The sequence below is a fragment of the Homo sapiens genome, chromosome 10, assembly GCF_000001405.40.
Source record: "Homo sapiens chromosome 10, GRCh38.p14 Primary Assembly".
NCBI lineage: Eukaryota > Metazoa > Chordata > Mammalia > Primates > Hominidae > Homo > Homo sapiens.
Genome location: NC_000010.11, coordinates 45,407,794 through 45,420,342, shown reverse-complemented (window position 1 = coordinate 45,420,342; position 12,549 = coordinate 45,407,794). Strand labels below are relative to the sequence as shown.

The window sequence follows — 12,549 nt, the reverse complement described above, 5'->3', positions numbered from 1 at the left end:
ATGCTACCTTAGCAAATAAAATTGAAATTTTCTAGCCTCGTCTGATTTTTAGATGGGATACCACCCTACATTTTCCAAACAAATTTATTTTACAATGGGACACATCCCTGATTTCATAACAAAATTTAATGAAAGTCAATATGTTTTATAGGCATCAGTTAATAGAAGGGGATTATTTTTTAAATTTCCAAGGATTTCAGAGGCTTTCGGGTAGCATTTGGGAAGTTAAAAGTGGGAGAATCCTACTTGTGTCACAGGAAAAGTGGTTCCTATGAGTGCTTTGGTGACTTGGGGCCAAATGGTTTCTGAGTTGGGATGACGATAAGAGGGGATGTGGTCTTCTTCCCATATACAAACCCACGCTTTGCTTTCCAGTGCCAGGCCAGCAGGCCCCCTCCTCTTCCGGCCTCTCTTTCCTCCGCCATCACTTCTCCCGATCCCCAGCCTGGGTCCTCACCCTTCCTCCTGCTGCTACGTCCCTCCCTTCCTCCACAGGCACCCTGCCCGTCCACTGAGCTCAGGGCCCTTCTCTCCTGGCCTGGCCCCTCCGCAGCCTTCCTTGCCTGGGGGATATCGCTCCTTCCCTACACCCCTGGTGCCTTTTGAAACAGGGTCTCACTCTGCCGCCCAGGCGGGAGTTCAGTGGCGCAGATCACTGCAGCTTCCACCTCCCCGGCTCAAGCGATCCTCCCGCTCGGGAATCCCCGAACACTGGGATTACAGGCGTGAGCCTCCGCACCCACTCCCTACCGATCATCCCCCTTCAGGACGCTGCCATCCATGTAGCTGGGTCGTCTGGAGCACGGGGCATGTGGCTGGCCTGCGGGGCTGGGGGAGGGCCGGTGGGAGTGGCTGCCCTCAGAGCCCACCCCCTAGGCCTCTGCCTGCCCCCAGGTTCCCTCTCCCCCGTCCCTTGTCGGGAGTCACTCGTCAGCTTCTCTTCTCAGCCCGGCTGCGCAGCGCTCTCAACCCAACCCCTGGACTCATCTTCGCCCCAGCCTCCTTCGTGCCCAGCGTCCCTTGTAAATGACCCCCCCGGCCGGGTGCCCCGCTTTCTCTCTCGGCCTCTTCCGCGTGGTCTGCTCTCCGCCCGCCTGCGCTCGCCCGGCCTCCCTGCCTCTGCGCCTTCACCTGACCGCAAAGGCGGCCAGGGCAGCCTCCGCGCGGCCTGACAGTCACGGCTCCCAGTTTGTCCCTGGACGTGGGAAACTCGGGCTCATAGCGCCTCTACGTACACTGCGGCACAGACTGGCGTTTCCTACGGCGCCTTCACTGGAAAGCGCCCCTGTGGTCCTGGGGAGAGGGCGGCTCCATCCGCCACCCTTCCCGGAGCTGCCCCCGCCCATTCTCATGGGAGGAAATCGCAGGGCGTGTGAGCCCCCGACCCCTCGCCCCCACCTCTTCCAGGACCGGCCGCATTTCTGCACTGTCCCGCCCCACTGGGAAGGAAACTCTCTTTCTCAATTTCCTTTAATGAGGACATTGTCTTTTCAGCCCTGCCACCCCCTGCAATCGTCTTCCAGGCTGCAAACAGCGAGTGGGGAGGTGAACACATCAGCTTTTCCTCCCTCCACACCACCAGGAAATTTCGCAAACCACTTGGCTCTCGGCGGCCTGGCCTCGCCACACCTGTGCCCACAGTCTCTCTCCGCTGCAGCCCCCTGTGCCATTCTCCAGGCCCCACGTACCTCTGCCTGGGCCCAGTAAGACCTGGTCAGATGGCCCCCGGCTGCAAAGCCTTCCTGGGCCCCATCAGAGAGGACGCCCAGGTGAAGCGAGGGTCCCCTGCCCACCCTGCAAGCGCAGGGGCCCTTCCAAGAGTGCAGCCCTAGGCCGGTGTGTGATGGTGGAGACGCGGTCCCAGAGGGCCTGAACCAAGAATGGAGAAGACAAAGGCTGTCTTTAGGGAGAAACTTCCCTGAGGGGCTGATGTGTGCGATCCCATTTTAATCTCACAACCCTGGGGAGGAGCTGGGGCCGGGTCTCATTGTTCATTTGAGGACACCGAGGCTCAGGGAACTTAGACGACTTTCCTAGGGTCCCCCCAACCCCCACCGGCCCAGGGCCCTCTCCCAGGCACCCCTCATCCCCACACAGGCTCCTCTAAGCTGCTTCCTTGTGGTCCAGCCCCCTTGGCTCAGCTCCTCAAATACAGGGACACCTCTTCTCTCCCCCGCAGAACTCAAGGGTCTCCATCCACTGTGCCAGCACAGAGGCGGTGCTCAGAGTGGGGCTAAGCTTACTGTCCAGCCTGCTGGGCCAGGAGGGGCAGAAGGGCCCCTCTCAGGATTCCTTCGCTCTGCTCCTGCCAATAGGCCATCACTCAAGGGGCTAATGACAGGACGATGTGGAGAAACGTGGGCTGCAGCACTTCTGGGGCCAAGGGCAGGGTGGGCGGCACTGGGGAGTACAGGGGAGGGGACCTCACTGGGGCCAGAGGCTTCTAGAAGCTTCTGCAAGAAGGGGCCCCTCACCCATGTCTTGGCCAAGAAGTGGGGAGGGTGGGTGTGGCAAAGGAAACAGCTAGGTCAGAGACAAGAGATGCTCTGCAAAGCCCTGCTGGCTCCCCACGGTGGAGCATCCTATGCATGTAGGACCTGAGAGATGGCAGGGGCGGGTGCGTCCCTATGGATGTATCTCCATTTCTGGGCAGAGACATCTGGGCTCTCACCTGCAATTGAGCCAACCAAGAAATTATATTTACTTTTTAGAGCGAGCCTCCAACAAATTATACAAGCACTTGAGAATAAGCCCTCCCACTGTCTTGAGAGATGGAGCCCAGGGAGGCAGCTGGAAAGATGCTCCTGCCCTCACTCAGGAGAGATGGTGGAGCTGGGAGAGGAGGAGGCACTCCCTGGGACCCAGCAGATGGACTTGACTCAGCAAATAGATGCAACCATATGTGGGGGGTGGGGAGGCCCAGAAAGGCATTACAGGCCAGTGTTCTTAATCCTGGCTATACACTGGAATCCACCAGTAGCCCTAAAATATAACTGTGCTGGACTTCCCCTGGTTCCACAGTTTGTGCAGAGTGGGCAGCATGGAGTCTGTAACACTAAACACACAGGATTGAGAACCATATGTCTAGGCTGTTGTTAGCCATGATGGGGATACATGAAAAGGAGGTGCACAGTTACCTTCTATACCACAGGATAGGTGCTCATTAAACCCTGTTAAAATGGACTGTGACCCAGCTGGCACTCAGGGGCACTCAGGGGCCAGGTGGGTCACACTTTCATTTTAATAGGATTTAATGAGCACCTATTCTGTGACAGCTGCTAAGATACAGAGGCTCCTGAGATACAGAGATGACAATGACCTTCAGAAACACTGAACAGAGATAAGAAAGGCACAGTCTGGCCTTCACTCCACCATTAATTCCTCCATCCATCCATCCATCCATCTATCCATCCATCTCTCTGTCTATACTTCCATCCATCCACCATCCATTCACCATCCACCCATCAATCCATCCACCCATCTATCCATCCATCCATCTCACTATCTGTCATCCATCCATCCATCCACCATCCATGAATCCATCCATCCGTATATCAATTTCTCATCTATCTCTCCATCCATCCCCCATCCACCTCTTCTTCCATCCTTCCTCCTTCCCTTCATCCATCCATTCATCATCCATCCCTCAACCCATCCATCTGCCTGTCCATCGGTTTGATTGTCCATCTGTCCAGTATTCCTCCATTCCCTCCAAACTGGGTGGCAGTACTCTCCACCTCACTACCTCACCATCCTTATTATTCCCTCCAAACTGTCTCTTTCACAAGGGCCTTCTGTCCTGCCTGTCCCATCCTGGTCTGGGACCTATCCCACTAAAGCTACATGGCTTTGATCAACAATCCCAATCCCAGAGTAGGGGAAGGGAAGTGAGCCCCTAACTGCCGTGATGTTTCCAGGGAGATGGTGGATACTGCTGCATTACTAATCCAGATGTTAGGTTTTAATTTTTCTCTCCAGTAGACCCCAATTGTGGTAGGAGAAAAATGCCCCAGCTTTGGACACAAACAGACCTGGATTCAAATCCTGGTTTTGCCAATTTCTGCCTAAATGACTTTAGGCAAACTCCTTGACCTTGACCCCTTGGAGACTCAGTTTCCTCACCTAGAAATGGTCAATAATATTATTTACCTCCCAGGATGGCCATGAAGCTTAAAATAGATTATTGTACCCCCCAAAACACCGACACAATGTTTAGAAATAAATAATATTATTTTAAGCTTTGAAGTCTGGCTGGGTTCTCAGCCTCGTCTACCTGCTGGGTGTGCAGACTCAAAGCCAGGGTCCCACCCTCATAGACTGTCATCTGTGGGTGTGGGGTTGGCCTGGCACTAGCAGGTGCTAATGCTCCTCAGAGGATTCTAGGTGTAAAAGGAAATGAAAATCTTTGGACCCCAATTCACTCTGCCAAAAGGGAAAAATTAAGCTGAAAGCTGAGTGATGCAAGAAACGAAGATAGCTACAGATAAAAGGTGAAAACCTCCACAGGTAGCTCTTGGTGTTCACCTTATCAAGTGCTGATGTACTAAGCGCAAGAGGAATACATAACTGACTATTCCCCTACCTGCTCCTTTTCTTTTGCAACATGTGGATTCAGTAACGTGACCATGCCCTCCCTTTCTTCCTTCCAGCCTGTTCTCCTTTAAATATTGATGCCCTTAAAGACATCTTCGGAAAAAGGCACAGTCCACCAACTGTTCCTGTGGATTTGTGTTCCTTTTTTCCGTGTATGTCTTTTTTTTTATTATTATACTTTAAATTCTAGGATACATGTGCACAACGTGCAGGATTGTTACATATGTATACATGTGCCATGTTGGTGTGCTGCACCCATTAACTCCTAATTAGGTATATCTCCTAATGCTATCCCTCCCCCCTCTCCCCACCCCATGACAGGCCCTGGTGTGTGATGTTCCCCTTCCTGTGTCCAAGTGTTCTCATTGTTCAATTCCCACCTATGAGTGAGAACATGCGGTGTTTGGTTTTTTGTCCTTGCGATAGTTTGCTGAGAATAATGGTTTCCAGCTTCATCCATGTCCCTGCAAAGGACATTAACTCATCCTTTTTTATGGCTGCATAGTATTCCATAGTGCATATGTGCCACATTTTCTTAATCCAGTCTATCGGTGATGGACATTTGGGTTGGTTCCAAGTCTTTGCTATTGTGAATAGTGCCACAATAAACATACGTGTGCATGTGTCTTTATAGCAGCATGATTTATAATCCTTTGGGTATATACCCGATAATGGGATGGCTGGGTCAAATGGTATTTCTAGTTCTAGATCCTTGAGGAATCGTCACACTGTCTTCCACAATGGTTGAACTAGTTTACAGTCCCACCAACAGTGTAAAAGTGTTCCTACTTCTCCACATCCTCTCCAGCACCTGTTGTTTCCTGACTTTTTAATGATTGCCATTCTAACTGGTGTAAGATGGTATCTCATTGTGGTTTTGATTTGCATTTCTCTGATGGCCAGTGATGATGAGCATTTCTTCATGTGTCTATTGGCTGCATGAATGTCTTCTTTTGAGAAGTGTCTGCTCATATCCTTTGCCCACTTTTTGATGGGGTTGTTTTTTTCTTGTAAGTTTGTTTGAGTTGTTTGTAGATTCTGGATATCAGCCTTTTGTCAGCTGAGTAGATTGCAAAATTTTTTTCCCATTCTGTAGGTTGCCTGTTCACTCTGATGGTAGTTTCTTTTGCTGTGCAGAAGCTCTTTAGTTTAATTAGATCCCATTTGTCCATTTTGGCTTTTGTTGCCATTGCTTTTGGTGTTTTAGACATGAAGTCCTTGCCCATGCCTATGTCCTGAATGGTATTGCCTAGGTTTTCTTCTAGGGTTTTTATGGTTTTAGGTCTAACATTTAAGTATTTAATCCATCTTGAATTAATTTTTGTATAAGGTGTAAGGAAGGGATCCAGCTTCAGCTTTCTACATATGGCTAGCCAGTTTTCCCAGCACCATTTATTAAATAGGGAATCCTTTCCCCATTGCTTGTTTTTGTCAGGTTTGTCAAAGATCAGATGGTTGTAGATGTGTGGTGTTATTTCTGAGGGCTCTGTTCTGTTCCATTGGTCTATATGTCTGTTTTGGTACCAGTGCCATGCTGTTTTGGTTACTGTAGCCTCGTAGTATGGTTTGAAGTCAGGTAGCATGATGCCTCCAGCTCTGTTCTTTTGGCTTAGGATTGTCTTGGCAATGCGGGCTCTTTTTTGGTTCCATATGAACTTTAAAGTAGTTTTTCCCAATTCTGTGCAGAAAGTCATTGGTAGTTTGATGGGGATGGCATTGATCTATAAATTACCTTGGGAGTATGGCCATTTTCATGATATTGATTCTTCCTATCCATGAGCATGGAATGTTCTTCCATTTGTTTGTGTCCTCTTTTATTTTGTTGAGCAGTGGTTTGTAGTTCTCCTTGAAGAGGTCCTTCACATCCCTTGTAAGTTGGATTCCTAGGTATTTTATTCTCTTTGAAGCAATTGTGAATGGGAGTTCACTCATGATTTGGCTGTCTGTCTGTTATTGGTATATAAGAATGCTTGTGATTTTTGCACATTGATTTTGTATCCTGAGACTTTGCTGAAGTTCCTTATCAGCTTAAGGAGATTTTGGGCTGAGACGATGGGGTTTTCTAGATATAAAATCATGTCATCTACAAACAGGGACAATTTGACTTCCTCTTTTCCTAATTGAATACCCTTTATTTCCTTCTCCTGCCTGATTGCCCTGGCCAGAACTTCCAACACTATGTTGAATAGGAGTGGTGAGAGAGGGCATCCCTGTCTTGTGCCAGTTTTCAAAGGGAATGCTTCCAGTTTTTGCTCCTTCAGTATGATATTGGCTGTGGGTCTGTCATAAATAGCTCTTATTATTTTGAGATACATCCCATCAATACCTAATTTATTGAGAGTTTTCAGCATGAATGGTTGTTGAATTTTGTCAAAGGCCTTTTCTGCATCTATTGAGATAATCATGTGTTTTTTGTCATTGGTTCTGTTTATATGCTAGATTACATTTATTGATTTGCGTATGTTGAACCAGCCTTCCATCCCAGGGATGAAGCCCACTTGATCATGGTGGATAAGCTTTCTGATGTACTGCTGGATTCGGTTTGCCAGTATTTTATTGAGGATTTTCGCATTGATGTTCATCAGGGATATTGGTCTAAAATTCTCTTTGTTTGTTGTGTGTCTGCCAGGCTTTGGTATCGGGATGATGCTGGCCTCATATAATGAGTTAGGGAGGATTCCCTCTTTTTCTATTGATTGGAATAGTTTCGCCAAACTGACATGATTTTTAAAATTCCCTATAGGGTCAATGTGCAGATTTAAAGATCCCTACACTCAGTAGTCCTGGGATAGGGTCGGGGGATCCATATGTTTAACAAGCAGCCTAGAGTCTCCCGATAGCCTGGGCAAGCTTTAAAAAGCCCTGCGGACATTCGGATGAAACAAAGGTGCACAGAACCTATATCTCTGCCATTTATTAGCTGGGGGCCTTAGGCAAGGAAGGTAGTCAACCTCCGTATTCCTCAGTTCCTCAACTGTAAAATGGGGATGATGACTGTGGCTCCCTCGTGGGGTTGTGACGGAGGAACAGGGGACATATGTCCTGGGATCAGCACTGGCAATTTGGCCATTCTTACCATAGCACCTGCCATCTTGGTGACAGCCTGGACACAAAGCCTTCACACCTTTGAAGTGGCCATAGAGAGCATGAGATATGGATGGGGAGGAGGCATTCCAACTAAAGACCCCTGCTTTGGGCCAAAAACACATGTATGTCTGGTGTCTGGAGTCCTCTGGTTATGCCTTTTTTAAGATACCGGTTGTCCTGCAATTGTGCGTTGAGAATCCACTCTATGGCCAACATATCATCAAAGCGTTTGGCTCAGCTAGGCTGTTCCCCCAACCCAAGGACCCCATGAGGAAAGGAGTGAGGGTTCCACCCCCAGCACCAGCCACTGGAGGGGCTGCCCAGAGTCCCTCAGTTCTCGTAAACTTACGCTTTGGAGTAATTCAGAACAAAGTCCACTCCTTTTTCACTATCAAACTGGATATCACGGGGTAAATCCTTGTGGCATTTGGCATCGATGCTCAAGGGGAAGCCAGGGTTCCACTCCATCCATCTGAGCATGAGAAAGGAGAAGAAATTGAGTTAAATGCCAGCCTTTGGTCTGCCCCCTCAGCTGAGGGCCGCCCACACTGTCAGACGATGTTACACAGGGAGATTGATGTACTCAAAATAAAGTCAACACATCATAGGCTGACCCTGTGTCCAGTAAGGTTCTGGGACCTCTTCCAAAGTCCAGTCGCACCAACTTTGCTGTGCCCTGAGCATCAGAGTGGGAACCCTGAGACTGGGCTTATAGTGGTACAGGTGTGCACCACTGCATAAAAAGTTCTGTAGGTAGTCTAGGGAGACCTCACTTACTAGAGGTGACATTGAACAGTAGAGGCCTGCCTTGCCAGTCACTGGAGGTAGAAGGTATTAAGGCTGCCCAGCCACGCCCAACCTGGACATCCACCATTCTGCCAACTTGATCAGTGTGTGCCCTGGACTGCGTGCATGTCCTGCATGTGGCATTTGGGGAAATGGGACAGTTCTTCTGCCTTCACAATAGGACGACACGGCAGCAGGTGGCCTGGGAGAGGGACCCAGGCACAGATGGCTAAAAGGCTTCCCTCTCTCACCTGCTGGCCAATAGCAGCTTTAGAGATTATTACAATCAAAACAGCTTCCCCAAAGACAAGCCACGGACTGCATCCAGTAAACATGCTCAGATCCTGACATCCTTGAAACGTATCCCGTGGCATTGGGCATTTGTGTTTTTGAAAAATGTTTATTTTGCTTTTTTGTTTACTTATTGAGTAAACTTAAATTGTGAAAATGTCAGAGGTGTTTGAACCACAGCAACTCCATCTTGAATAGGGGCTGGGTAAAATAAGGCTGAGACCTACTGGGCAGCATTCCCAGGAGGTTAGGCATTCTAAGTCACAGGATGAGACAGGACATTGATGCAAGATACAGGGCAGAAAGACCTTGCTGATAAAATGGGTTGTGGTAAAGAAGCCGGCCAAAACCCAACAAAACTAAGATGGTGATGAAAGTGACCTCTGTTCATCCTCACCACTCATTATATGCTAATTATAATGCATTAGCATGCTAAAAGAAACTCCCACCAGTGCCATGACAGTTTACAAATGCCATAGTAATGTCAGGAAGTTACCCTATATGGTCTAAAAAAGGGAGGAACCTTCAGTTCCTGGAATTGCCCACCCCTCTCCTGGAAAACTCATGAATAATCCACTCATTGTTTAGCACATGATCACGAAGTGACTGTAAGTATGCTCAGTCGAGTAGCCCATGCTACTGCCTTGCCTATGGAGTAGCCTTTCTTTATTGCTTTACTTTCCTAATAAACTTGCTTTCACTTTATGGATTCACCCTGAATTCTTTCCTGTGGAGGTCCAAGAACTCTCTCTTGGGGTCTGGATCAGGACCCCTTTCTGGTAACAAAAACAAAATGAAATCCTGTTAGTTTCTTTGGGGAGGGAGAATGATTTTGTGTTTGTTTAAAAACCAGATTTTACATTTTAGGGTTTTAGCTTTTTCATTTATATTCCTAATTCTCCTTCCTTTTAAAATTTTCTTTTGAGAGGAAAGTAAAATATCGAGATTTTGGGTCTTAAAAAAGTCCTGAGTTATTTTAATATGATCTTGTGCTTTGACTTTCCCCAAATCCCAACTGTCACAGTGTCCTCTTGGCCCAGTAGCCTCTCCTTAGGATCACAAGAAGTGAACAGGGACCGGGTATGATCCTTCTGACAGCAAAGGCATTTTGTCAAGTGTTTTCTGTTATGTGGCACCTTACATTTCTCACTGTTGGTTTATTTAGAATATTCTACGTCCTCAGATTTTAAGAAAACCTTCCATTTTTGCTGTTTGTATTAATGCCAATGATAGTATATTAACAAGGATAAAAATGTGGACAAGTCTACACATTTTTTGTTTGTTTGTTTTGGAAAATGACTCAAGGCATCTCCAATATATATCTAAAATTGAGCCATTCAGTAGCCTCACTGGTAGTAATGATCAATTAATTAGCTATCATTAGTCATATCAATTTAAATATTACTGATGATTTTCTCTTTGCCTGGACAGTTCAAGGGCTCTAGTTAATTTTAAAAGCTCAGTGGAGCTAGATGTTTTTCAGTATGTAAACAATGAGCCATGCAAGGGCATCTGTGCCAGCAAATGGCATTAATGTTTTCTTAAGTGAATAGTCCACTTGGACGGATGTGGAATACTTCTTCAGCACCAAAAAGACCTTCTTGCCCCATGCCCTGCCCTGGTCTATGGAGGGTGGCAGCACCAATGGGCAGAAATGCCCCACTTGTGTGGTTAGAAGATGATGGCCTCACAGCACATGGAGACAGGACAGCTTGCTTGCTAGTTCACTACTGCCCCCCTGAAACCAAATGTTTATGTCCCTTCCACTGCAGGTCACTGCTGCTTAAGAGACCCTGACAGGCTGACCTGCACAGGAGCCGAAGGCCTGCATGGCCACAGACATTAACTGGTGGAGATGGAATCCCACTCCATTGAGGAAGACCAAGTGGAACACCCAGGCAGAAGGAACAAAGAAGTAGAAAGGCATTTAATTTATTGGAAAAAAAATGAGAGAGAGAGAGAAAGAGAGAGAGAGAAAGCAAGAGAGACAGAGAGACAGAGAGAGAGAGAGAGAGAAAGAGAGAGAGAGAAAGCAAGAGAGACAGAGAGACAGAGAGAGAGAGAGAGAGAGAGAGACAGACAGACAGAGAGATCCTAAGGGGATGCAGTTAGTATAATTGGAGTGTAAAAAGACTTTCTGTAACCACAAACATGATTTCTGAATGAAGACTTCAATAGAGAAACAGACAAAGAGAATAATCACTGTGAGATGTTTGGTCTCTTGTATTAAAAGAAAAGCTTTAGACAAATTAAATTTAGCAGTTTAATTGAGCAAAGAACAATTCAAGAATAGGGCAGCCCCTAAACCAGAGCAGGCTCCGAGTGACTTTGATGCTGTCTCATAGTTGGATAGGATTTATGGGCAGAAAAAGGAACGTGATGTACAGAAAATGGAAGTGAGGTACAGAAACAGCCAGATTGGTGATGGCTCAGCATTTGCCTTACTTGAGCCCAGTTTGAACAGCTGGCCACTGTGAGTGGCTGAAGTCTGGCCGCTGTGATTGGCTGAGACTTGGTTACTTGCTATGAGAGTAGGTGACAGTCTGTTTACACATCCAGTTAGGTTACAGTTCACTATGTACAGAGAAACTTTTAGGCTGAATTTAAAATATGTAAGGAGAAAAGTTTAAGCTAAACTCATTAACACCTAGAAGAGAGAAGGTGTTCATTCGACAACTAATTATGGAGCACCTACTATGTGCCAGGAAGTGCTTTGTGCAAAATAGAAGAACATGTAACCCAAATACAGGGTGAAACTACAAAGAAATGGAAGCCATAAATGAAACTATGAGAGACATAAACCAAAAATAAAATTCTAAGCCCCTGAACTGACTGATGGACCCTCCCCTTGGCCAAGGGCATTCCAAAGTTAACCTGAAAAATTAGTTCAGGCCATGATAGGAATGGGTGGCTAAACGTGCCTCATTGTACTCTCCTCCTCTTGGAATTCAGGCACAACTGATCAGCATTCACATCAACACAGAGATGTTAAGCCCATTAGAACAGACTCTTTAAGATTGATAAGAAACATTTACAATTGATTCTACCTGAAGCCTGCTACCTGGAGGCTTCATCTGCATGATAAAAAACTTTGTTTCCACAACCCCTTATCTTAACCTAGACATTCCAAGTTTTTAGATAATAATTCTTTTAAGCAGTTGCCAATCAGAAACTCTTTGAATCTGCCTATGACCTGGAAGCTCCCCTCCCCCAAGTTGTCCCACCTTTCCAAAACCAAACCACTGTCCATCTTACATGTATTGACTGATGTCTTATGTCTCCCTAAAATGCACAAAAGCAAGCTGTACCCCAACCACCTTGGGTGCATGTTCTCAGGATCTCCTGGGGCTGCATCATGGGCCACTGGTCACTCATATTTGGCTCAGAATAAGTCTTTTCAAATATTTCACAGAGTGTGACTCTTTTCATTAACAGACATGAAAGCCAGATACAGATGTAATATGCAAGGAGTAAAAGCTCCAAAAGGAGAGAGAGTAATATATGGAGAAGTGAAAAAAATCAAAGAAATAAAAGAAGAACTCCTTTAAGCTGAAAAATACTTCAATATCTTAAGTCTGTGAAAGGAAATTAAATTTTAGGACCCCAAACTCATTTAGCCAAAGGGAAATGTCAAGCTGGGAACTGTGTCATGCAAACCTGCCTCCCCCTTTTGGTTCCTAAATAAGATGGCTATGATGAAAAGCTACATGTCTCCACCATATTTTGCTCACAAGGAAATTCCTAGTGAACCGTTAAAATTTCACCATGGCAATGCAAATTGATAGCTTATCT

General features: G+C 46.7%; 1 protein-coding gene across 8 annotated transcripts in view, besides 2 other annotated features; it reads right to left on the bottom strand.

Annotated features, from left to right (window-relative positions):
* Positions 1 to 12,549, bottom strand: part of ALOX5 (arachidonate 5-lipoxygenase) — a 71,902-nt gene that overhangs the window by 25,775 nt on the left and 33,578 nt on the right. For all 8 annotated transcript variants that reach the window (NM_001320862.2, NM_000698.5, NM_001256154.3 and 5 more), the window contains one exon: positions 8,030 to 8,152. In NM_001320862.2, the coding sequence (NP_001307791.1) occupies positions 8,030 to 8,148 (119 nt within the window). In that variant the 5' untranslated portion in view covers positions 8,149 to 8,152. The remainder of the gene's footprint in view (positions 1 to 8,029; positions 8,153 to 12,549) is intronic.
* Positions 19 to 710: an enhancer, noted in NCBI's record as "H3K27ac-H3K4me1 hESC enhancer chr10:45915081-45915772 (GRCh37/hg19 assembly coordinates)". NCBI's record gives its function as "activates a minimal SCP1, AML or CMV promoter by ChIP-STARR-seq in primed H9 embryonic stem cells {active_cell/tissue: H9 hESC(primed)}" and the evidence as "EXISTENCE:reporter gene assay evidence [ECO:0000049][PMID:30033119]".
* Positions 711 to 1,404: an enhancer, noted in NCBI's record as "H3K27ac-H3K4me1 hESC enhancer chr10:45914387-45915080 (GRCh37/hg19 assembly coordinates)". NCBI's record gives its function as "activates a minimal SCP1, AML or CMV promoter by ChIP-STARR-seq in primed H9 embryonic stem cells {active_cell/tissue: H9 hESC(primed)}" and the evidence as "EXISTENCE:reporter gene assay evidence [ECO:0000049][PMID:30033119]".